The 26,512-nt window shown below is 47.8% G+C and overlaps 1 protein-coding gene across 14 annotated transcripts in view, besides 2 other annotated features; it reads right to left on the bottom strand.

The window, feature by feature from the left end:
• DYSF (dysferlin) overlaps positions 1-26,512 on the bottom strand; it is a 233,203-nt gene that overhangs the window by 139,976 nt on the left and 66,715 nt on the right. For all 14 annotated transcript variants that reach the window (NM_001130979.2, NM_001130981.2, NM_001130980.2 and 11 more), the window contains 6 exons: positions 25,884-25,999; positions 20,442-20,568; positions 18,387-18,490; positions 11,699-11,767; positions 11,477-11,520; positions 7,549-7,631 (listed from right to left, as the gene is read on the bottom strand). In NM_001130979.2, coding sequence (NP_001124451.1) covers positions 7,549-7,631; positions 11,477-11,520; positions 11,699-11,767; positions 18,387-18,490; positions 20,442-20,568; positions 25,884-25,999 — 543 coding nt within the window. The remainder of the gene's footprint in view (positions 1-7,548; positions 7,632-11,476; positions 11,521-11,698; positions 11,768-18,386; positions 18,491-20,441; positions 20,569-25,883; positions 26,000-26,512) is intronic.
• Positions 962-1,041: an enhancer, noted in NCBI's record as "active region_16019". NCBI's record gives its function as "activates an Ori minimal core promoter by ATAC-STARR-seq in GM12878 lymphoblastoid cells {active_cell/tissue: GM12878}" and the evidence as "EXISTENCE:reporter gene assay evidence [ECO:0000049][PMID:35858748]".
• Positions 18,516-19,034: an enhancer, noted in NCBI's record as "NANOG hESC enhancer chr2:71754884-71755402 (GRCh37/hg19 assembly coordinates)". NCBI's record gives its function as "activates a minimal SCP1, AML or CMV promoter by ChIP-STARR-seq in naive H9 embryonic stem cells {active_cell/tissue: H9 hESC(naive)}" and the evidence as "EXISTENCE:reporter gene assay evidence [ECO:0000049][PMID:30033119]".

Below are 26,512 nucleotides of genomic sequence, written 5' to 3'. Positions count from 1 at the left end.
AGAGGAGAAACTGAAAACTGCTGGGAAATCAGCATCATCTACATTCCAGAGACAAAAGGAGACTAACTTTGGATTTCTTAACTATGGAAAACACTAGGATACAAGTGCTATTTATGGAGCATGAGTTTCCTATGTATAAAGTTATCAAAGAATCTGTGTATGTTTCACAGAGCTCACGTGCCTGTTACCTCTCAAAAGACCTGCAGCTTCTAAGGAAAGCACTCTTTTTTAAAAAACAAAATTCTTACTTAATACTTCAGAGCACAGGGTCCAAGGAACACTCTAGTGCGCCCAGGCAAATTTGTGGGCAGAGGTGTTTAAAAGGTTAGTGTCAGGTCTTGCCCTCACTGGAAACAAAAACAAAAACAGAAAAACAAAAACTGCTAGTTGAACCAAATCATCTGGTGAACCCTGAGGCGGGGAAATACAGAGAAAGAACTTGTTTTTACAGTTCAGTTTCATTTGGTCTTTGAGAGCAGTGAGGAAATAGAAGTGTTGTCTATCACCCCAATGGGCTACAAGCCCACAACGTGGAGAAACAACATAAAAAAGGGCTGAAAGGAAAGTTGGAGCGACGCGTTCTGAGGGGGCTGCAGGCAAGTCGGGGAGGCTTGGCCCGAGCAAGGCAAGGGCCCGACCTCAAGGCCGGAGAGAGGCCCTGGCCCCAGAAAGGGACCCACCTCTGCAGGAACGGGTCGGCAGAGTCCGAGAGTCATCAAGGACAGCTCCAGTTGGATGCACAAGTTTAACTCTTTTACTGCCACTTAAATCAAGCTATTTAACTGCATGTTCAAAACCGGTTAGCTGGTTGCAAGAAGATTCTCATTTCTTTCCAGAACCATCTGTGATGGAAGGTGGTCCCGACTTTGAATGCCTTCCGCAGCATGCTGGGTTGCCCGTGACCTGAGCGCCATCTAGTGACCACATAAACATCTTTCTTACCTTCCCACCAACACACTCATGCGGACACAGAGAAAGGTGAGGGCTCACACAGCATAGAAATGAAGACAGGTCGGGGGATGTTAACTCTCCATCAGGGGGCTGGTGGTAGGCACGGCTGCAGCGTCATGAAACACAACTGTCGGAAAACAGTCAGAAATGCCACAGTGTGCCCCCACCACTGTCTGCCCCTGGATTGAGAGATGAGAGACAGTGCCAGTCAGAAAACTGAAGACGAGGTTCCTTCCATACCAAGAGTACTGACCTGTGAGGTGACCCTCTGTCTGCATTACCACCCCCAAATCTCTCTACCTGTGCAGGAGACAGCCCTCCTTAGAAACTATCTGAACAGCAATTAGTGAAGGGGCCACATCCCGGAACAGATTGTTCCCCCAGCGAGGAAGGGAGGGGCTGGGGCAGGAAGAGGAAGTTCGCAGTGCCTTCAGGAAGGTCGTTTCTGGGACTAGTCCAAAGTTCCAACAAGGAAATCAGAAGGCAGAGAGCAGCTAGATGTGGAAGCTCAGGGAGGGTATCTGGGAGTTTACTGTACAATTCTCTACCTTTGCGTGTACTTGAAATTTTCTATAATTAAAAGTTGCCCTTTAAATGTTTCAGAGAACTCAGCCAAACCAGTCTTTTCATTTCTTTCTTGCCACATGGCCTTGGAATATGTCATCACCTCTGCCTGGAACTCTTTCCTACTCCTCACGTGCCGGTGGCTTCCCCTCTGGCAGCCTAAGACACCTCCTCCTAGAAGCCTTCCTTGATTCTGTCAGGCAGAAGCAGCTCTCCCCTACTCTGTTATTCTCTTTCACCATGCATGTCCTTCTCTTCGAGGGCACTTAAGACAACTTATACCCATATTTTTATTTGTCTATTTGTTTGTCGCCTGCCAGGACTCTAAGTTCCCTGAGGGTGAGACCAAGAATACTTTGTTCAACCCTCTATGCCCAGCCCCTGACAGAAGGCATATGTTCAATAAGCATCTCCTAAAAGAATGAAGTGAATGAAAAACAATGTCAGGTACATGCCTCTGATAGCTGCCTACATTTACGGAAGGATCTGAGGACATCAAGCAGCTAGAAGTCTAAGTTAACAATGTCTTGCTTAAAAACGATGTTAACATTTGGGAGGCCAAGGCAGGTGGATCACCTCAGGTCAGGAGTTCGAGACCAGCCTGGCCCACATGGTGAAACCCCGTCTCTACTAAAAATAAAAAATATTAGCCAGGTATGGTGGCAGACAACTGTAATCCTGGCTCCTTGGAAGGCTGAGGCAGGAGAATCGCTTGAACCCAGGAGGCAGAGGTTGCAGTGAGCCAAGATCACACCACTGCACTACAGGCTGGGCGAAAAGAGCAAGACTCCATCTCAAAAAAAAAAAAAAAAAGAACATTTTTAAAAATGGTATCTCCTCCAGTCTCCTCTTCTAGGAGAAGAACTCCTAGAGGTCTCCTACAGATCTAGAATCTGGAGACGATCTCCAGCTTCAAGAGCACTGGGTAGAGTCGGCCAGAAACTGGGCACGTTAACCTGTCCTCCAGCTAAAGATCTGAGGAGATGGATGGACAGAGAAAGACCCACACACCCTATCTGTGAGAGATACCAACACTGAACAGATCTTGTGGGAGAGTGAATAAAGCAGGGAGAGGGCAGAGAGCCAACCAGGATATGGAAACCACATCCATAAGATTCAGGAAAGCATTCACCTGCATATTACAGAAAATGATTTGGAATCCTCAGTAGAGTACAAGAAGATGTAGTTTTTGTGGAACAAAGCAGAACTGCCGGGAGAGAACAGACGAGGAGCAAAGAAGTAAAGGAAAATATAAAAGGAGTGACAGGGAAAAAAGAAGGCTTGAGCCCTCTCCCTCTCCCTCTCCGTCTCCCTCTCCCTCTCCGTCTCCCTCTCCCTCTCCCTCTCCTTCTCCCTCCCCCTCTCCCCACGGTCTCCCTCTCCCTCTCCCTCTCCCCACGGTCTCCCTCTCCCTCTCTTTCCACGGTCTCCCTCTGATGCCGAGCCGAAGCTGGACTGTACTGCCGCCATCTCTGCTCACTGCAACCTCCGTGCCTGATTCTCCTGCCTCAGCCTGCCGAGTGCCTGCGATTGCAGGCGCGCGCCGCCACGCCTGACTGGTTTTCGTATTTTTTTGGTGGAGATGGGGTTTCGCTGTGTTGGCCGGGCTGGTCTCCAGCTCCTAACCGCGAGTGATCTGCCAGCCTCCGCCTCCTGAGGTGCTGGGATTGCAGATGGAGTCTCGTTCACTCAGTGCTCAATGTTGCCCAGGCTGGAGTGCAGTGGCTTGATCTCGGCTCGCTATCAACCTCCACCTCCCAGCCGCCTGCCTTGGCCTCCCAAAGTGCCGAGATCGCAGCCTCTGCCCGGCCGCCACCCCGTCTGGGAAGTGAGGAGCGTCTCTGCCTGGCCGCCCATCGTCTGGGATGTGAGGAGCCCCTCTGCCCGGCTGCCCAGTCTGGGAAGTGAGGAGCGTCTCTTCCCGGCCGCCATCCCCTCTAGGAAGTGAGGAGTGTCTCTGCCCGGCTGCCCATCATCTGAGATGTGGGGAGTGCCTCTGCCCTGCCGCCCCGTCTGGGATGTGAGGAGCGCCTCTGCCCGGCCGCGACCCCGTCTGGGAGGTGAGGAGCGTCTCTAACGGGCCACTCCATCTGAGAAGTGAGGAGCCCCTCCGCCCGGCAGCCACCCCGTCTGGGAAGTGAGGAGCCCCTCCGCCCGGCAGCCGCCCCGTCTGGAAGTGAGGAGCGTCTCCGCCCGGCAGCTGCCCAGTCCGGGAGGTGGGGGGCAGCCCCCGCCCGGCCAGCCACCCCATCCGGGAGGGAGGTGGGGGGCAGCCCCCGTCCGGCCAGCTGCCCCGTCCGGGAGGTAGGGGGCGCCTCTGCCCGGCCGCCCCTTCTGGGAAGTGAGGAGCCCCTCTGCCCGGCCGCCACCCCATCTGCGAGGTGTACCCAGCAGCTCATTGGGAACGGGCCATGATGATGATGGCGGTTTTGTCGAGTAGAAAGGGAGGAAATGTGGGGAGAAGATGGAGAAATCAGATTGTTGCTGTGTCTGTGTGGAGAGAAGTGGGCATAGGAGACTCCATTTTGTTCTGTACTAAGAAAAATTCTTCTGCCTTGGGATGCTGTTGATCTATGACCTTACCCCCAACCCGGTGCTCTCTGAAACATGTGCTGTGTCCACTCAGGGTTAAATGGATTAAGGGCGGTGCAAGATGTGCTTTGTTAAACAGATGCTTGAAGGCAGCATGCTCCATAAGAGTCATCACCACTCCCTAATCTCAAGTACCCAGGGACACAAACACTGCGGAAGGCCCCAGGGTCCTCTGCCTAGGAAAACCAGAGACCTTTGTTCACTTGTTTATCTGCTGACCTTCCCTCTACTATTGTCCTATGACCCTGCCAAATCCCCCTCTGCGAGAAACACCCAAGAATGATCAATAAAAAAAAAAAAAAAGAAGGCTTGACAAGAAACTACAAATGCAATAGCCCATTTTAAACCATGTACGAAGCAGTAAAAGGCAGAATTGGTACAGAAAAAAATCAGATTAGCAACATAGAAAGCCCATCTTAATGATGATAAACAGCAAATGTTACTTTAAGGTTATTGTGTACTAGACATTATAAGAACCTTACTTTTATAACCTCATGATTTTTACAACCGCCTCATGAGGGTTGGGACTTGTAAGAGCCCCATTTTACGGAGACTGGAGCAACTCACTCAGTTACAAAGAAGCAGAGCCAAGAGCATTTGAACCCAAGTTGGTGGGCTGGAGAGCTAGAGCTCTCCCCACTCCCCCACTCTGCCTTCAGCTGTCCATGGCATAATGTCAGAATTTTTAAAAAACAATCCTCAACTCGGATTTAAGAATTCATCATGTCTCAGACAAAATTCAATGGAAAGTGTCCTGTACCAAGATAGATTAAAATAATTTTCTAAACTATAAGAAAAAAGATAAATTCCTATGAGCAGCATCTAGTCAGGAAAAAAAAATAGACTAACTATGAAAGAATCACATCAGACTGCTGTCAGAAAACACACAAAAATAAATTCAAAATAGATCAAATGTTTAAATGTTAAAAAAAAATTAATAGAGTTAAATATAACCTTAGGGTCTGCTGAACCTTAGGGTTTGAGCATGACACAGAAGGCAGAAACCATACTTTCATTATTTAAATAAGAAATTTTAAAAATAAAGACAAGAAGCTATAAAGTTAAAGAAGGAAACAATAAAATCAGTCTAAAGACAGTTAAAGAGTGCAAAGATTAAAAGTCCAATAAAGTTTTAAAATAAACTTCTAACCAGCTAATCAAGAAAAAAAAACTCAAATACATAGCATTAGAAATAAGAAAAAGTAAAACACCACAGGTAGAGAGAATTATTCAAATTATAAAAATTTGCTCTGTACAACACTATGTAAATAAATTATACCTCAACGTAATGGATGCTTTTCTAGGAAAATATAAATTATCAAAATTGACTAGAGTAAAAGTGACAAACTAAAAATAACAATCATCACAGGAGAAATTGAAAAGTTTTTAAAGAGCTATTACTATACCCACTCAAAAAGGGCACCCAGCCCATATGGTTTTATGGGTGAATTATTTCAAACCCTCAAAGGACTGTATTCTTGTGTTATAGAAACTGTTCCAGATGTTAGAGAAGACTTTAAATCTTTACAATTAATTTTACAAAGCCAGCATAACCCAGATATCAAAACCAAAGAAATAATAAGCAGACATACCAATTGAAGATAATAGAGGAACAGGCCCAAGAACACATTTAGGAATTTAGTAGGTGATAAAGGCAGCATTTCGAAATATAGGGAAAAGATTACTCAAAATACAGTGTTTGTATCACCAAAGAACAATTTTGAAAAAAGTAATGCTAGATCCCTGCCTTATTCCCTAAGGAAAAGACTAACAGATTTGGCTACATAAAAATTTTAAATTTCTATAGGTCAAAAACTATTAATTGGTAAAATAAAGCCAACAAGAATTATTTACTACATAAATGACAGGGGAAAAGTTAATATCCATATATATACAGAACTCCTACAAAGGTATGAGAAAAAGATAAACATTTCCTCATATGGACTGAGAACATAAATAAGACATTTATAATAGAATGAATATAAATTATATAAACATGTTATATATAAATATAAAATAATTATTTAAATATATTCAAATTGAAATCGGTCAACTTCACCAGCTATCAATAAAATGAAAATTAAGGCAACAATGAAATACTATTTTGACCTATAAAATTAACAAAGTTCTTTTTTAATATTATTATTTTACCCTGTGTTGGGGAGGGTATAGCAAAATAAGCCTAGGGGCATGATGAGAGCATAAAGTAGTCCAGCCTTTTTGAAGGGCAATTTTGATAAATATCAAAAGTCTTAAAAATGTTGAAATCCTAGGCTGGGTGCAGTGACTCATGCCTGTAATCCCAGCACTTTGGGAGGCCGAGGTGGGCGGATCATGAGGCCAGGAGTTCGAGACCAGCCTGGCCAACATGGTAAAACCCTGTCTCTACTAAAAATACAAAAATTAGCCGGGCGTGGTGGCGCGCGCCTGTAGTCCCAGCTGCTCGGGAGGCTGAGGCAGGAGAATTGCTTGAACTGGGGAGGCGGAGATTGCAGTGAGCTGAGTTTGGGCCACTACACTGCAGCCTGGCAACAGGGCAAGACTCCATCTCAAAAAAAAAAAAAAAGAAAAAAAAAGTTGAAATCTTTTCACACAGCAATTCCAATTTTAGGTATTTATCCAAAAGGAAACTCATGAATTATATAAAGATTCAGCTACAGAAATATTCCTTGCCAATTTAGTTGCTTATAATGTGGAAAAATTTGAAAACACCTACATGTTCATCATTAACTAGTTAACGTGGATCATGATACATTCACATAATGGAATATGTGTATTCACTTAAAATTGTATTATAGAAGAACTTTTAATAACAGGAAAAGATATCTATGTTGTATTGTCAAGTATCAAAAAGCAATTTTCAAAACAATTTGTTCTAATGTATATATACACATACCCATGTATTAAATACACACATCTTCCATGCATGTACAGACATATACATACATATATACATACATACAGAAAGGTCTCGGAGTGCTAATAGTTCTTGTCCGGAGGGGTGGGCTTATGGGTAATTTCAGGTAAATTTTATATTCTTTCAGATTATTTCTTTACTTAAAATTTTACAAAATGATGATGAGTTGCTTTTTTAATAGAACAGTAAGAGCTATTTCAATAGCTTTTGAAACTGCTAGAGCACAGTCGGCCAAGGCAGGACCTGATGGATGGCATGGCCACAGCCAGCCAATATTCTCTGCAGGAGTGAATTATCCTCTTTGTGCCCTTCAGTGGCATATCCCACAATCCAAGTGTGGAGAACCCTAAGTGTCTGTAAGACATCTCTTTCATTGCCAGAGCTCTTCTCAGTGGAAAATGGGCAACAGAGGCCTTATAATCTCCCCTTTTCTGCAAACTCTCAAAACTAGAAGTGTAAGCTGGATAGAGGGGGTACGGGGGAGAGCACAGGGGGTCAAAGGGCAGAACGAAGAGGGAACATACCTTCTATTTCTCCTCCAGGGGCAGAGATTTTCGACATACTCAGGTAGGTGGTAGCCACGATGTCATTGTGAGTCAGGCGGTCCCTAGAGCAAGGGAGCAGAGAGGGCCTGAACACAGGAAAGGAACTGCAGGCCACAGCCCACCCAGGAAGTATGCGGCCTCGGTTACACATCACAGGGGGGCGGGGGGCAGGCAGAGAGCGCTTCTGGTCTTCACTTTGGTATGTTACTGAGGCCTGGTAATCCCAGAGATGAAGACACTGCACAGGAGGTTTGCCCAAGACTCTCTGAGAGGGAACTAGTTCATCTCGCCAACCACCAGCATCCCATCAGGCAACCAAACCCAGGCTGCCAGCCTGGATCTCTACAGACGCATCTGCAGGCTGACAGGGAGGAGGCCAGAGGCAAGGAGGCAGGGCCAGGGACTGGCCTGTTCAGGGAGCCAGGTTCCCGGACCCAGGAAGAACTGAGAGGCTCCAGGAGCTAAAGAAATGTCCAGATCAAGGAGAAAACTAGGTGACCAGGAAGAAACTATCTCCAAGGCCACAGTCTTGAAGTAGCCAATGGTAATACACGATTCCTTTTTGTATCTGACTTTGTATGTAATGGGGCACTTTTAGCCTTTATCACACAGGAGGCTCACACAGCCTTGAGAAACAAGCACTTTTATTATTATCTCTGTTGCACCCATGAGGAAACTGAGGCTTAAAGCCATGTAGGTACTTGCCCAAGGTCATCAGGAGAGGAAGGGCAAGCCCAGGCCGGAAGCCCTGGCGTCCTGACTCCTGGAACATTGCTCCTGCATGGCATAGGGCCTGCTTCCAGGGGGACACTTCTTGGCTCCCCAACCAGGGTAGGGGACTGTGGCCAGGAGCTCAAGGAGGTTAACTGCTTGATTCACCTATTAGCCAACCACATCCTATGCAGACCCTCCCTCTGAACCCCACTCCTGCCTCCTTTGATAATAATAAACAGTAACAGCTAACATTTATTGAGCACGTACTAAGAGCCAAGCACTGTGCTAAAACCATCAGGTGACTTAACTCACTCATTCTCACATCGGCACTACCAGGTAGGTACTACAATTAGCCCCAAGTTCAGATGAGAAAGCCAAGGTTGAGAAGGTTAAATAATTTGCCAAGATGGCAAAGCTGGGATTTGAGGCCAGATATGCTGACGTGGAGACCAGAGCTTTGATTGCAGCCACCTGCTGCTTCCCGGGTAGGCTAGACCTGCGGTCAAAACCACTAGGTCGAGAACCCCACAGCAAAGAATATTCCAGCCCCAAATGCCAATGATGCAGACACTGAGAAACACTGGGCTGGGCAGGACCCATCTCCTTCAGGAAGTTCCTCCTGGGTAATTTCCCCTTCTTCTTGGTGCCCCGTAGACCCCCTCTCCCTGTTGTGAGTGCCTTAGCCATGGGCAGCTTCAGATGACACATCCCAGCCCCATTGTGAAAGGCATACCCTGGCATGGTGCTTCAATTTTTCTTTGAAATCCTAACCCTACAAGGTACCCTAATCTCTGCACAATTTCTGTGCTCCTTTCTTCCTCTTTGTATTTCCCAGGGAGGTGATTAAGCTTTGATTTTTAAAGTTTTCCATCGCCGGCACTACATTAGGAAGAATGAATTGTCAGCACAGACAGATCTGTATCATTTTTCCAAGTAAATGATATTAATAAGAACTGAAAAGCAGGGTGCGGTGGCTCACGCCCATAATCCCAGCACTTTGGGAGGCCAAGGCAGATGGATCACCTGAGATCAGGAGTTCAAGACCAGCCTGGCCAACATGATGAAGCCCCGTTTCTACTAAAAATACAAAAATTAGCCAGGGGTGGTGGTGTGTGCCTGTAATCCCTGCTACTCGGGAGGCTGAGGCAGGAGAATCGCTTGAACCTGGGAGGCAGAGGTTGCATGAGCCAAGATCACGCCATTGGACTCCAGCCTGGGTGACAAGAGCGAAACTCCATCCTCCCACCACGCCCCCCGCAAAAAAAAAAAAAAAAAAAAAAACAAAACTAGAAAGTAAAAATTTCCTGCAATATTTTACAGTGATATTCTCAGCACCAGATGAGTGACAGTTAATGGCATTTGTACCCAGTCTTCATGACCAAACCCTAGAAAAGGTCAGCACTTGAAAAGGAATTGGATTTCTGACCTCCAGTCTTCTCTGAATTGGGAGAGGAGGGAAGGAGAGTGGGAGGAGAGAGGTTCTGTTTTATGGAGGTAGGGGGTGGTTTGGGGTTTTTTTGTTGTTGTTGTTTGGTTTGGTTTTTTAATGAAAAAGGAATTTCTGAAGAATTAAATGGAAGATTAAGTTACAGAGAAAAGGCCATATGGACTATATCCTATTTCCAGGATTCAGGTAATAACAAGAGCTTATCTGCATTTTCTGGGAAGAAAGCACTCTTCTGGATAGGAACTTGAAGCAGCAGAATGCTTTCTGGCCAAGAGCTGGGTTTTGGGGCTTGGGGTTGCTTTTGGAAAATACAGCAAGTCTGAAAATAGACTCACAATAAAAATGCCACTTCAACCCAAACCAGAGATGCAACCACCAGATTCTGTAATGTGTTTGGATTGTACAGTACGCCGATGCCTTTGACACAGCTCACCCGGACTCGGGCCAGACACATCCACAACACAGGAGACAACCGCACCCACTCACATCCACATGCGCAAACACGCAGAGACACGCACAGCTCATCGCCCGCAGTCAGAGCGGCACACATGGAGAGCGGAGATGAAGAGATCATTCTGGGATGTAAAGCACATCTTTCCTCCAAACCGCTTCCCCACAGTACATACCCGTGGTCGCTGCCCTTGCGGCCTCTCCCTCACAGGCCCTCCTGGCGGCTCTCTTTCCTCTCCTCTAATTCTCACAAGCTGTTTTCTTTAGGCCTGGGGAACTGGCACACAGCTTAATGGCTCTGTGGCCTGGGGGTTTTTCCCTAGTCTCTCATTATCCTCCTGGTTGGGGGTGTCATGGGCATGAGACCAGAGGAGAACACGCTGGGGAACCACAAAGCCAAGACTTCTTGGGGGCAAAGAAAGGACAACTCTCTCTTTTTGGGAAGCCCAATGCCCTGAGATCACACGTGTGGACCCCGAATATTCCCCTCAAGTGTAAGAGACAGCTCCCCTCAACTAGCAGGAGGTGGCATGGACTAGTGGTTAGGAACGCAGGCTTTGGAAACAGCAGGCTTGGGTTCAAGCCTGGCCTCAGCTACTTTCCAGCTAGCTGTCAGCTCGGGCAGGTCACTCAGTCTTTCCCAACCTGCCTTCTCATCTGTGAACTGATGTCGGTGAGTTGATGGTCAGATGAGATGACTCGTGTCAAGTGCTTGCTGGGAACAAGGTTTGGTGTATAGTAGGTGCTCAACAAGTATTAGATGCTGTGGTCTTTCTAAGACGCCCGTGAGCTGCTGTCCTCACCTGCTGCACAGCTGCCGTGGTGTCCCCTGCTCAGGCAATCTGGTCGGCTCCTCCAGCCTGGGGACCCTACTTTTTCATCCCACCAACCCAGGGCAGCACCGCAGCCCATCCTCCCTGAAGCTCTGCTCTTTTCAGACCCTTCCCTTAGTTTGTGAGCCTCTCCTCACTGGAATGTCCTCATGGTGAGCTTAGCAAAACCCCACCCCTCCTGCCGGGCCATCACCTGCCCCACCTCCTCCAGGAAGCCTTCCCAGCTCCTTCTGCCCTCAGAGATGATTCCTCCTTATCTGCCTACCTCCCAACAAGCAGGTGTGAGTAAGCTTCCGAGGAACTGCCCACACCCTCTCCATCCCTGGCTACCCCAAGGGGACATTACCTCACCTGAAACTTCTCCCTCACACTCTTACTACCAGTCACTGAGCCGAATGAAACTGAGGGACCCAGCGCCCCCTCAGGACAGCCCGCCCTAAAGACTCCAAGACTCAGAACTCACCAGTCTATGATACGAATCCTCATTTTTTCGCACATGGAGGGAAACTGAGGAAGGAATAGAGGCGTGTTGGGAGAAGAGTCCTTTTGAAGATAGAACAGCCCCTCCCTACCCCGAGCTGAAGTCTGGGATACTGGCAGGATGCTGGGGAGGCAGGAGCCCTGGACCTCCCGAAGCCCAGAGCCCCAGGGGCCTCCTTGGGTTTGCTGGGGGCAGGAGGCTCACCATGGCAGGCAGTGTGATGTTCTGGTTCCACTGAGGGTTGGCCGTCTTCTCCAAGATCTTGCTGCACAGCTAGAAGACACAGGGAGGGGACAAGTTGATCAAGCTCCATGGGGACTCTGGGCTCCCCCGGGGCCACATGCCAGCCAGTGACCATTCTCTGCCATGCTGGCTGCCCTTAGGGCTGGGTGTAAGACCCTGGGGTTGGGGCCTAGTGCAGGGGGTTCATACACAGGGAATCTTTGCAGAGACAAAGCTCAATGGAAGGTCAGACCCAGAGCTGGGGAGTGGGTAAGGGTGGGGTGGGCTGTCTGAATGCCACAGCCCTTCTACCCTTAACTCACACCTCTGGCTGAAAATCCCTCTCCATACCTCCCATTATGGCCATGACCCTAAATGTGGGGGCCCTGAGTCCAGTCCAGACCAGCTTTCCCAGAGGCCCTTATGGCCCAGAAGGCTCTTTTGCCCATTACCCCAGATCATCCACCATGTAGGAAGACTGTGACCCCTAGGAGATCAGAGATGGGAGAGGGGAGCCATGCACAGAGGTCAGAGAGTGAAAGAAAATTCAGTGAAGATACAAACCCTATAAGCCATAGTCTGCCTCCAACCAGCCCTGTCCTAAAGACCAGGTTTTTCCCAAACAAGAAACCTCACAGGAGTGGAAACCAGATCCAAACCAGCAGCTCACAGGCCAGCCCTGGCCTTGGAGTCCATAAGGAACACCAGGCCCCTTAGCCAGCCCCAGGGATCCTATACCCACACACGGGGGCAGCAGGTAAAGACTCAGTTTCAGATACACAGATCCTGGTAGATTTCCATGTTCTACACATGAAAATAATGAGCAGCCTTTTCAGAGCATTTACTATGATAAGCCCTGCATTGTGCTAGGCATTTCATGTGCATTATCTCATTTAATGAGCATCTGACTTAAATCAGAGACTTCAGGTCCCCAGGGGTGAGGATGATGTCTCCATTCCTGGTCCACCCAGTGCTGGCCCCTGCCCCCACCTTCCCCCTCCTCCCTGTAAAAAGAGCCCCAGACAAAGGCCACACAGGGCTGGGTGTGGGGCTGAGTGCCAGGATTTGGCCCTTGTGTTAGTTAGCAAAGAGAGGAGTAAGGAAAGAAGAGAGACCAACGATCCAATCCAGTGGAAGAAAGAGCAAAGAGTGGAAGAGACAGTTCACAGAATGAAGACGCAAGGCCTTGAGACATATAAAAAGATGCTTCATCCCACTCAGAAAGAAACACAAAGAAAACCAACAAAATACCATTCCTCACCCATCAGATTCATAAAAATCTCTAAAGTCTGATAGACCACTGTTGGCAAGGCTATGGGAAAACTGCATGCTCATGTTTTGCTGGTGGGAAAACAAAATAGTTTGACCCCTTCAGAGGACAATTGGCCACTATGTATTGTAGTTTCAAATGCATGTTCCCACTGCCCTATGAATCCTACCTCTAGACACCCATCCTACAGAAATACTTGCACATGTGAGGAATGACATATGTGTGAGGCTATTCACTGCAGCATGGCTTGAACTAGCAAGGATTTGGAACAACCCATGTGTCCACCAATGGAAAGCAGGTTAAATGAAGTATGGTCCGTCCGTACAATGGAGTACTAGGCAGCTGTCAAACAGAATGAGGATGCCTCTAGGTAGTGACGTGAAACCATCTCCAAGTTATATGATTAAGTGAAAAAAGCAAGGCGCAGAGTGGTGTGATGTGCAGCCATTTGTGCTAAAAGGTAAAAGACAAAAATCTATAGTCGGCTGGGCACGGTGGCTCATGCCTTAATCCCAGCACTTTGGGAGCCCAAGGCAGGTGGGTCACTTGAGGTCAGGAGTTCAAGACAAGCCTGGATAATGTGGCAAAGCCCTGTCTCTACTAAAAATACAAAAGTTAGCTGGAAGTGGTGTCACATGCCTATAGTACCAGCTACTCAGGAGACCAAGGCATCAGAATTGCCTGAATCCAGGAGGCAGAGGCTGCAATGAGCGGAGATTGCACCACTGCACTCCAGCCTGGGCTACTGAGTGAGACTCCATCTCAAAAAAAAATGAAGAAAGAATCTGTAGTCATATTTGCTTACACGTGCATCACAAAACCAGAATAATATAAAAGAAACTAATTGCAGTGGTTTTCTTTGAAAAGGAAGAAATGGATTGATTGTTGGATGGGGTACAGAGCAAGAGGGAGATTTTTCATGATAGATAGATAGATAGATAGATAGATAGATAGATAGATAGATAGATAGAATAAATGTACTACCTAATTCAAAAATTAGATAAACAAAATTTTAAAATAAGATACTTTAACAAGACCCAGCTGAGCAGCTCTGCCAACTCTGTGCCCCAGGTCCCTGGAATAAGAAGGCACAGGCTGCCCCAACACACACATAGGATGCACACGGGCTACTTCAGCCCCTGCCCCAGGCATCTGGCCCTCCTCCATCGCAAACACTTCAACCTGGCTACCTTCACCAGGATGTGGGTCTGGGGGCTTGAACAGCAGCTGGTCCATCTGCCACACCCCAGCCAGCACTGCCTGTGGCCCCAGAGATCCCTGCCAGCCTTCCCCCATCCTGTTCCACCCACAGGCACTCAGCCAGGGCCACACCATGCTGCTTCTTCCTCTTCCTCTGCTTCTCTTTTTTTCTTGCTTTACCTTTTTTCTTTACCTTCCTTCACTACCCAATGGAGTATTATTAGTACACTCTCTCTGGAAGGCTATTTGTCCATCTGTATCAAATACTTAAAAATAAGCCCCCTGGCTTAACAGCCCCAATTCTAGAAACTTCCCTACAGAAAAGCAATCAGAGTGTGGACAAAGATTCCTGTATGCTGATGTTTGTCACAATGTTGTTTATAAAAGAGGAAAATTTGAATTATATATGTCCAAAAAATAGGTCAAATGTTATGGTATACTCATCTGACAGAATATTATGCAGCCATCAAAAAAAATCATTTCAATGACTCTTTAATAACCTAAGAAAAGATGAGACAACACAAGCAGTTTACCAAACTGCATGTATATAGTTGATTCTCATTATTCATGGTAGTTATGATCTATAAGGTCACCATGAACCCTGAATTAGTGAATGCTGACTCATTACCTCAGAGAAGAAGCAGGGTTAAATTCCTGGCAGCCTCTGTCACAATGTTTTTGTCAACTGATCAATACGTAACCTTGGTTTATGTGTGCTTCTGTTGAAGGACACCTTACTTTTTAATATACATTGCTGAGTCATCAGCATTGAACTCACAGCCAACGGCACTGTGACTCAAGCCTGCCAGAAGCTTACCTATCACACGCACTTCCTCCATAAAACACATCACAGCCTTTCTGAGCTGAGGAACGCCAGACAGCACTTCAGCACGACATTTGGGGCCATTTTAAACAGCGAAGTCGCCAAGAAAAGGCACAAAAATGTGAAAAACATGAGACTACACAGGACACATATCAAAGGACACACATTTTGTCTGTGTCCTTTGATACGTGTCCTGTGCAGTACCATGTTTTGAGACTCTCTGCCTCCCTGTTTCAACTCTCGTGGAGTAAATACATGTCCTTTGATCATGGACATGTCATGTTTACTCCATGAGAGTTGGAGCGGGGAGGCAGAGAGTCACCTTGTTCAACCTCAGCAACCAACATACACGCTGGGAGACTCAAATTTTTCAAAGCCCTGAAAGTGTCCACAAATCATCACTAAAGTGCCATGAGTGTTGATTTTGGGCTTGCAAATACATTTTAGTGAGTAGGCAAATTGGCAAATACAGAATCCTTGAATAAGGAAAATCAATATTTTCATGATTTTTTCCCAGCAAGTGGGAAGAGGGGAGGTAACAGGGTAGGTAATACAAACCAATGTTATCAGTAATTCTCTCCAGGGTGGTGCAGGGTACAGAATATGGTGCAGTGGGAGTTTTTGTTGTTTTCCTTGTCTCTGATTTTTTTCAATTTTTTGCAATTAATGGGTTTTATTCTTGAATTCAGAAAAAAAAAAGTTGTTTTAAATCTTCCTGTCCTGCCCTACAAGTAGGGCAGGACCTTTTCTTTCTTCCATACCATGAAGTGCACAGTCGCACACACTCTCCCACACTCCTATCTTCTTAGGAACTTGGCCAAATCAAGTATGGTTCACATCTTGGATAATACTGCCACCAGGTGTCCATAAGGGGAAATGCAAAGAAGGCCAGCTGGGGTGGGTGGGTACACAGAATGTAACCTCAGGGCTCTTCAGCTTAGGGTGTAAAGAGAGAAAAGGGACATGCAAGCAGGCTAAAAGAGAGGGACAGGCAGAATGAGACACGCCATAAGAGCAGCAGAAGCGGGGACGCCACAAGGAGGTGGCTTAGGGCAGAGAGGACGCAAAGGCCTGGGGTCCACCGAGGAGGCTGGCCAGGTTGAAACTTTCAAGACGGAGCATTCCAGCTGCCTCCTTCACCATAAGGTCATTCTTCAACTCCCTCCACCTCCTTCTAGAGGAAAAATGGGAGGCGCAGCTTCTTGCATGAGCCCAGATGCCAATCTACTGTATACAGTGCCTTGCCTTGGCTGCCTTTGTCCTTTCACCTCCCCCTAGACACTGGTACCTTCCTAAAGAAATCCCCAGGGCCAGCCAAGGGCATCTCAGAACAGAAGACCCAGGGAGATCAAAGATGCTGGCAGGGACCCAGGAGCAGCCCGGAGCCCCGGAGCTCTGAGGCTTAGTTCCAATGAATGTGAAGGCATGTCGGTCTTGGTTCTAGCCACCATCGAAATACCTTCCATGTTGGGAATGCGAAATAAGAACAATCTCAGGACGTGAATTCCCCCAAGTGTCAAGTGGAAGAATTAATCCTAGTCCTTGGAGCTAGTGTCCCACAAAAACGTACAGCCGCAGCTTCCTGTTTCCTTCCTACCTTCAAGCAGCTGTCCCCATTCCTCCTGATGCCAGGCGCAGGGCGTAAGACCTGGACCCTGAGTCTACACCAAAACCTGCACTCAGGTGAGGATCTGCAGTAAGCATTTACACCTCCACATGAACGAGTTTAAAATCTGCATTACATCCCCGTGTACATTTTCACTGGGACCCTGTGCTAGTCTCTGAGGAGAGAGAGCCCAGCTCAAAGGGGCTCCTGATGGCCACCTTCAGTATAATTCATACATCAACACAATAATGACTGATTTAACATTAGAAATAAAAAGTATTGAGGTCCATACTAATACTCAACGAAGCGGAGGGAGAAAGCTCTTCTTTACAGAAAAAAATGTTGGCTAATCAAGAGAAAAAGAATGATAATGAGAAAATCACCACTTTGCAGTCCCAACTAAATGACTTCTTCAGACAGGAAGGTCAATGGATGCTTAGACCATTAGATAAGAGGTAGCTGAGAAGTAGGACATCCGTACAGTGCCAAGATATCACCCACAGTTTACTTGCTAATTACAAAGTGGGAAGATTTATAAGGGAGCTGTCTGGAGGCACCATTTTAACTGTGTGATCAGGCGATCATCCCTAATGATGGGACAACCTGACATTATGGCTCTCTGTTGTGATGCCATATGACATGCAGAACATCAACTACTCTGAGTTCTTGCCGAAATACTTCATCTGAATCTAATGGAGTCTCTAGACCTAACTTCCAGTTTACAGGAAAGAGAGGAGTCAGAGAAACAAGTTAAACAACAGAAGGAAACAATCGAACAAATCCAGTACTTGGACAAATGGCCTGGGCTGTTCAAAAATTCAATGCCATGAGTTGAGAGACAAGGGAATGCTCCTGGAAAGAGCTAGCAGTGGCTGTGGGGGCACGAGGTAGGGATGGGCCCTGGGGACAAGTTTAAAGTCAAAAGCTAGAGATAGCATGTGGGATGTGGAGAGAGAAAAAAGAAGGAAGAATCAAGGCAGGTCCACATTTTCTGCCTTTGATGGTTGTACCTGGTTAAGACAGAGGCTTTTGGATATGGGGCAGTTTGTGCAGAGAAAATGACTCCCTCCAGGGCTCAGAGGGGCAGCAGGCGGAACTGTTTAGAGGCACAGAGAGGCCTGGGGTTGAAGGGAGGGTTCGGAGAGCTACGGAGTTCTCTGCAGAGAGGTGATGGCTGAAGCCTGGGAGGGCTGGGGCTGCCAGGAAAGCCTGTGGGGGGTGCACAGACACTGGGGGGTGGGCAGCCTGTGTGGAGAGAAGGGCTGGGACAGAAGTCAGCAGGGACTGGAGCCACAGTCCCGCCTCAGGGCAGGAAGGTGGGCTGCAAGGAAGAGGCTAGGGTGCCCACCAGAGGGGCCTTTCTCTGCCCAACTACCCCCACAACATTTTTTAAATAACCATTATGTTTTTCTCCCACATCTTTAAAATATAGTTTCTCTATCTTTATGCCTTCATGTCTGGTTTCCATGCTATTGCTCCATTTTCCCCCAAATGTTCCTCTACTATCCACCATCCAACGTCCTCTCCTGGGCCATCCACATCTATGTGTCTGTCTGGGACACCCCCAGGCAGACCTGTCCACATTCGTGTGCGGGGCAGTCCCTGAGAGCTGGGCCTATGTGGGTGTCTCACCACGCACCAGGATCAGCCACTCCTTGTGCACACACCTCTGGTGGGGGCATCTCACTCTGTCTTGCTCTCACCCGGCACAGTCCACAGGGCACCAGAAAGTCCCCTCCCGAGAGAACCCTCCTGCTCCCTTGCTCCTTACCATTTTCCCCGCAAAGCTGACCTCCACAAAGGGGTCCACCAAGTTCTTCTTGTTACTCTCGAAGCCAAAGATCTGTTTCACGTTGTCCATCACGGCATCGTCCACTGGGAAGAGGGACACACCAGTCACTGCCTGCCTGCTGTCTCTCCTCTAAAACCCTGACTGTCCCCCATCTGTCTCCAGGCAGTCCTGGGACTACCTGAGCAAGAAGCTTTGGCCCCTTCACACAGGGACTCAGCCCAGGGGCTCCCCAGAAGGAGGACTGTCTCAGAGCAGCAACTCCTGAGAGCTCCGGGCCACTTTGTCACCAGTCCCAAACAGCTCAGTTCACTGTCCCCACCCTGCATTCAAAGCCTTTCAGATCAAATCTACCTGCCTGACTAATTAGAAATCTACATCACTAAGGGCAGTAAGTACTCAGAAAAGGACTGGCAGTTGTTATAACAATATCCCATTATTGGTGCCTGGTTGACATTTTCCTTTAAATCTATTAGCGCAGCGATTTACCTGAGGTTAACCAAGAAGTCAATTCTGTTGTTTTTTTTTTAAGAGTTTTTAATCTATGCTGCCCCAAACCATTATTTTTTGAATCAGCCAGATTATTTATATATGTAGATACAGATAGATAGATATGTTTATGTGTATACACATACATATGTGTATAAAGCATGTTATGTTTACAGACATATGAGTGGGTAAGTAAGTGGAGGGGGATAAAGATTATACGCTAGCTAATAACTACATGAATACAAAAGGCAACAACAATTAGCAAACATTTATGATCTGTTTGCCCATCTATTTTGTTTTTTTCAAACAACGTTGCAGGGAATTCAACACAAAGCTCTTTCACCTTAAGAAAAGCAAACATTTCTATTTCCCCATGCCCCTCTTGAAGTTCACCAGCCTCACTTCTAGTTGCAATCAATAAGTGCAGAATATTTTTAAGCATGTGTTTTAGTACTGAATTAATACCCATTACTTATTTACAGGCTTTCTTCAGGATTTGATCTAAGTAAGCTTGTACATTTCATTTCTTGACGTCAGCAGCCGAAGCAGAAACTCTCAAATAGTTACCTTTATGGAAAAGTTGTAACCAGGGACCCAAGTTGCAAACCTTCTCACTGACTCTGCTGTGGACAGTGGCTTGGTTGTGTTAATGCATGCTTTAAAATAGTGGCTCACAGCGGGGCCTCACCACAGAACAACCTGGGGAGCCTTTAAACCCTACCAATGCTGAGCCCTGCCCTAACTCGAGTCAATCTAAAACGCTGGAGGTGGGGCCCCGGCATTTGGACCGTTTTGAATCTTCCCAGGGAATTCTACTATCAGCCCAGGTTGATAACCAGAGCTCTAGAATATTCGGTATAACTCCCCAGCATTTACTAAACACACAGATGGGTCTAGTATCGGGCCAACCACTGTGAGAAACCAGGCAGTGGCCACATTGGCCTTCCTGGGAGGAAGAGATGGTTGCAAGTCGGGTGCCCACTGTCCCAGTTTGCTGGAGACTGCAGGGTTTCCTGGAACAGGCACTTTCAGTGCTAAAACCAGGACAGTCTCAGGCAAGCTAGGATGGTGGGTCACCTTGTGGATCTGTGTCCTTCATCTGTGAAGACAGTGGGGCCCAGGAGTCCTTCATGCAAACCCTTCCAACATTAGAGCAACTGCTCCCCAGCCCAGCTCTGCCACTAGCAGGACGGGCTTCCTCACAGAGGGAGGGAAAATCAGTGAGAGCCAGCCCTAAGGCCAGAATAGAGTCCAGATGGTGCTGACTTCTCAATGAGAACTAAGAAAATGGGTCCACAGAGTGGCCAAATATTGCCAGACCAGGCCCAGAGGACATTGGAATGGAGCTGAGAGGCAGCTATTACTCTCAAGAGTTCTTGAATCTTTGTAACTCCACCAGCACTGATTACTTTTCGTTAAATTCTGATTGTTTTCCTAGACGCCTCTCCTTCCCCCAGGGAGCTGACCCCGCCCGCCATCGCCCACCCCCACCAGCCCTGCGCCTCCAGCCTCCTGCAGACCTCCCACCCAAGGGCGCGCCCCACGCACTCTGCGGCAAGTCCTCGGCCCGGAAGACCTTCAGGCAGAAGTGGGCTCCTCGCAGGGCTACGCCTGTGGGCCGGAGCAGGTTGCTTTCAATGTCCTCCTTGTCTTCAGAGGGGTCTTTTCTCTCCAGCTACAAAGAAAACCAAATACGATTCCTTCATGCGCTCCTGAGCACAGGGTTTTACTTTCCTTTTCTAAGAGTTCCAGCTTCGCCACATAAATGCTGCATTCTGCAGTAAGGCAGACTGCGCTCCGACACTTACTACCGCGTGGTCTCGGGCAAGGTCCTTCACCTGAGCCTCAGCTTCCTCTTGAGTACAGCAGAGACCATGATACTGACCTTCCAGGACTGTGCGAGGAACATCTCCAGTAATGATGTAAATGCACGTGGCACACAGCAAGCATTCCACCAACCTCAGTCTCCTTCCCGCTCTCCCCCACCTCCCGGTTAAAACATAGTACAGTAGTAACTGAGGTCTAAGCTGGCCACTCTGTCTTTAATAACATGCAGGTGTTCATTCACCCAGCCATTAGCTACTGAGTGAGTACTAGGTGTCTGTATGGTGCTGAAGGGCAGGGGATATGGCAATGAATAAGGGGATGACATGAATAAGCACCCTGTTCCCATGGAGCTGACTATCATGCAGGGAAAACACTTTCAGCAAACGAATCCAATAACATGTACTGTGTCTTGTGGTTGGAACAGTAATAACAAAAATCACATCCCACATGCATTGATGTGTATGCACTCTCTCATTTAATCCTCATAGCACCCCTCCCTTGAATGGGTCTCAAACTTGGCGGCACATTAGAAACACCTGGGGAAGCCTGGGCGCCGTGGCTCGCACCTGTAATCCTAGCACTCTGGGAGGCCGAGGCAGGCGGATCACCTGAGGTCAGGAGTTCAAGACCAGCTCGCTAACATGGGGAAACCCTGTCTCTACCAAATAATACAAAAATTAGCCAGGCATGGTGGCATGCACCTGTAGTCCCAGCTACTCAGAGGCTGAGATGGGAGAATTGCTTGAACCTGGGAAGCAGAGGTTGCAGTGAGCCAAGATTGCACCACTGCACTCCAGCCTGGGCAACAAAGTGAGACCGCCCCCCGCCCCCACCATCTCAAAAACAAAAAAGGAAAAGAAAAGACTCACCTGGGAAACCCAGGTCACACCCTAGACCAATTAAAACAGAATTTCTGGGAGAGAGTACCCATGCAGCAGTGGCTTGTAAAGCTTCCCAGATGATTCCAACTAGCAACAGAGGCTGAGAATCAATGTCTTCTAGACCACTGCTGTGCATTCCAATTAAAATGCAGGTTCTAGTTCAGCAGGTGTGGGGTGGGGCCCAAGATTCTGCATTTCAAAAAGTGTCCAAGTGATGCCCACGCTGCTTGCCCACAGATGTTGCTCTGGGTGTAAGACCTAGAATGCCCCCACTTTACAGATAAGAAAGCTGAGGTGTAACACAGGCTGGAAGCAGAACCCACGTGCTTGGAGAGCACAGAGCAAGGGGGCTTGTAACTATACTGAGGTGGGGTCAGAAATGCTTCCCAGCTTGAGACCTGGATGATGAGCAACAGGTGGAGGCATCCAGACGAGGAGGCAACTCATGCAGAGGCCCTTGCACATGGGGAAGTCGGCAGCTGGAGGAACAGACAAAAGATCTGGTGGCTGCTCTTGGGCTAGCGAGCAGCGAAGGGACAGGAGAATAGCAAGGTCAGGCTGTGCCCAGCAGCCAACTCCTTGGACAGTTGCCTGGACTAGCCTCACCCCATTTCTCACTCAGTCACACTTGACACGTAGAAACCTGCTTCAGGATCCTTGCTGCAAAACCCTCAATCCCAGAATGCCCATATCACAGCATGCCCAAAGGGATGTGTTCTGCGTTTATTCTCCTCAGCTCATATCAGAAGAAAACAATCATCTTTCAGGCATCCATAAAAATGTCTATTCCCCTAGACAATAAGCACTGACTGAGCACCTACTGTGTACAAGACCTGCCGTACTAGGCAAGAGGGGAGATAAAAGATATCACATTTGCTATATTGTCCCCATCATCAAGAAACTGAATCTCAGTGATGAAGACAGACACATAAACTGATTAGACTACCAAAGGGCTGGGTGGTGGCCCAAAGGAAAGACCAATACATTTTCCTGGAAGACGAGGCAAGCTTCAGGGAGGAAGTAGCATCTGAACTGGGTCTGGAAGAACAAATTGGCTCTTGGTAGGCAAAGAGAGGGAAGGCATTCCAGCAGGGGAAAAGGCTAGAGAGGGATGGAAGAGCATTCTGGAAAGAGTCACATCATCTGGTGTGGCCACAGACGGGGCCCATGAAGATACATAACAGCAAGTGGGATTGGGAAACTAGGCTGAGGGCAAATGTCAAGGGCCTTGAATGTCATGCTAAGGATCTTGGACTCTATCCTAAAAGCAGTGGGAAGTCACTGGAGGTTTTGTAAGAGGAGACACGCGTGATTCTACCTGGGTTTAAAAGTGATGACTGGCGGCCAGGCGCAGTGGCTCACGCCTGTAATTTCAGCACTTTGGGAGGCCGAGGCGAGTGGATCACAAGGTCAGGAGTTTGAGACCAGCCTGACCAACATGGTGAAACCCCGTCTCTACTAAAAATACAAAAATTAGCTGGATATGGTGGCGCACGCTTGTAATCCCAGCTACTCAGGAGGCTGAGGCAGGAGAATCACTTGAACTCGGGAGGCGGAGGTTGCAGTGAGCCGAGATTGCACCATGGCACTCCAGCCTGGGTGACAGAGCAAGATTCTTTCTCAAAAAAAAAAAAAAAAAAAAAGATGACTGGTGATAAGGTGGGGATAGGTGAAGTATAACGTAAGAAGTTAGGAGACCTCAGAGGACACTTAGGATGGATGGCAGAGACTGCTAGTTGTTCCCCCAAATCCAGTCTTTTCTGCCTCCCCTAACAAACCCTCAATTTTTAGCTGGACAGCATTAGGATGGACTTTATTTCCCAGGCTCCCTCGTAGTTAGATGTGGCCATGTGACTAAGTTCTTGTCAATGGGACCTAAGCATAAATGTGTACAACTTCTGGATCATGCCTTTGAAGGAAGAGATGTGGCCTCCATTGTCCTTTACTCCCATTTCCCTGGCTGGAATACAGACATGGTGATGGGAACTGGAGCAACCATCTTGGGCCATGTGACGGAGGCTGCATGATGATCACAGTGGAGAAAAGACCAGGAGCCTGGGTCTCTGATCATTGCCGAAGCACTGTGCCAATTCTGGACTGTGGCATTCATGAGAGAGAAATAAACCTCTGTCCTCCTTAATGCCTATTATTTGGGGCATCTTTGTTACACCAGCTGAACCTATATTGTAATTCACAAAGAGACCCAAGTGAGAGAGAGTGGGAGCTGGACCTCAAACTCCTGTCTTGGGATGGGAAAAAGAAGAGGCGTACACTGAGGTTTTCCACCAACAAGACTGGCCAACTGCTTGCATGGGGATTGAGGGGTAAAGAATGAAACTCTGGCCTCTGGTTTGGGGGACTAAGTGGATAATCATGCAATTTCCTAAGATGTCACCTAATACGGGATGGGGAACAGGTGTGGGGAGTGGGCAGCAAATGATACAGGCTTTGCTATAATAAGTTAGATTTACTATAATAAGTTAGAGGGGCCTAAGGGACATGTTAATGTGGCCTGATGACAAGGCAACTGAAACTGAGCGTCCAGAGCTCAGAAGATCCAGGCTGGAGAAGAGCAATTTACAAGTCTCAGGTGGTGTCTGAAAGAGACGGACTCCTCAACAGTGACGGGCAGGACACAGCAAGGGAACAGGGACTGAACTGCAACATCGAATTTGAAGAACCCACTGGAAAAGGAGCAAGGAGAGTCATGAATACTAAGGGAGGAGACAGTTTCAAATAAGGCGTGGGCTCCAGAATCGAACGCTATGGAGCAGTGGTGCAGTCTAACAACAGAGGAGAGCTCCTAAGCTATGGTAATGAGTGACCCTTACACCAGTGGCTTCAGGGAGGGGAGGTGGTGGGATTCCTACTGAAGAGGAGAAGGAATGAGCAGCTGGCAATGGAGTGGAAAAAGGGGGATGCAGTGCACCCTTTCAAAAGTTGGTGATGACCAGCAGTAGGAGAGAGAGAAAATAGTAGTGGAGAGGAGGGGTGGGGAGAAATGGGTCAAGGAAGGGGTGTTTTAGGATGGGGAAATCTTGAGCCTGGTACAGATCATGGAGAAGGAGGCAGAGGAGACAAGTGTGAGAAGAGACCAGAAAGAGGAGGCTAAAGAAGACAGTGGAGGATGTGAAGTCATGGCCAAGGAGGTGGTGGGATAATGCAGCGGGAGGGGCGGAGGAAGGGAGGGAAGGTGGATGAAGATGGGGGGCAAGTTGAGGACCACAGGAGCTCCCAGAGCTCTCACCACTCATCGCTGTGCAGCTCTGCCTCTCCAAGGGAAGCTGAGGTTGGAGCTTAGGAAAGGGAAGAAAGTCTGGGAACAGCCAGGAGAGATAAGGAGTAAGGAGATGAGGAGAATTAGATAAGGAGTAAACTATACCCAGGTAAAGGAAGAGGCGGACAGCACCCGGGGCCCAGCTAAGTGGAGAAGTAGAAACCCACATTCATCCAAGCAGCACGTCCAGGTGGCCAAGGAGCCAGTGTGTGGTGAGGATGGGGGAGACACGAGGCATGGCAGGAGACCCCAGGGGCCCTGTCCTCCTCTCCCTCCCTGCACAAAGCCATCAGCCATATTCAGGTACCTCACCCCTGACCTTCACCTCACCCCTGACCTTCAGCACTCCTGGCTTGCCCTCACCCAACACGTCCACCACCCACCTGCCTCTCTTCTGCTTCTGCGCTGCTGAGCACCATGAGGCAAGTGGCTCCACTACAAACAAAGCGTCCAACCCAGAGTGGGTGCTCTGGTGTTTGTACAGAAATCCTTTCATTAAATCTAACCCCTCACTCCTCTCCCACAAAGATGATTCCAAACCTTTTCTCCTCTTCTCAAACATAGAAAGATGCAGATACCTCTCCTGCTCTCAACATTTTTCTCATTCTTACCACCTCCAACTTATAACTTTACTTACTGACATGTGGAGATGAGCATGATACATTCTTAGGCCATGAAATTCAAGTCACAATATAATATATATAGAATAATCTCACTGTTGCAAAAAGAAAATATGTGCATATATCCTTCCAGAGGGATGTGCAATGAGACAATAATAGCTCTCTCGGAGTGGTAGGATTATGAGTGATTCATTTTTTATTAATACCTTGCACCCAGAGCATTCATTTTTTATTAACACCTTTCTACATGTTCCACATTTCTCATTAATTACCACATATTAGTTTAAATCAGAAAAAAAAATAGAGTTTTTGTTTGTGGTTTGGTGCCTCCGCAACCAAGTGCCGCGTGGGGGACCGTAAGGAAGACCCAGGGAAATGTACTCACAGGCGCTTCGTCCCCAGGCCCCAGCACACAAAGGCTTGTTTTCAGGTAGCCTCTGGCCCCAGCAGAGAAGTCATCAGGGTCTGAGAGCAGCAGCCACTTCCTGAGATAGGCGTGCCCTAAGAGAGACAACATCCTCTGGTGATCCCAGAATCAGAAGACCCCAGGCTGTGGCCACATCCGGGAACCCAGGATGGACTGCACAGGGGAGGTAAAGGACTCATCCGCTGGGCCATGAGCTCAGGACTCAGATTCTAGAATCAAAAGGTACTTTGAGTGTTCATGTGGTCAGAGTCAGAAATATTAACAGAAACGCCTGTAAGAGGCTGGCAGAGCCAAACCCAAGGCATTTTCCTCCCCTTCAGGAAGTGACCAGATCAGAATGGAAACCAGGGTGAGGAGAAATCCTGGCTTGTCACCCAAATGACCTGTCCCTGTCTGCCGTGAGCCCAGTGTCCAGTAATGGGGCCTTTCAGATCTAGCCTCCCTGAATGGGCCAACGGAGACACAGGTGAGTGTTACACCCTCCCGAGGGCCTGTCTCACATGGAGGATGAATGACCTGCTTTCTCTCCCAAGATCAAACCCTTCCTCTAGATTCTAAAACCCCCAGGAGGGACAGTGAGGACCCCA

The sequence above is a fragment of the Homo sapiens genome, chromosome 2 (genome assembly GCF_000001405.40).
Source record: "Homo sapiens chromosome 2, GRCh38.p14 Primary Assembly".
Taxonomy (NCBI): Eukaryota; Metazoa; Chordata; class Mammalia; order Primates; family Hominidae; genus Homo; species Homo sapiens.
The sequence above is the reverse complement of the archived record's forward strand: the minus strand, read 5'-3'. Positions and strand labels throughout refer to the sequence as shown.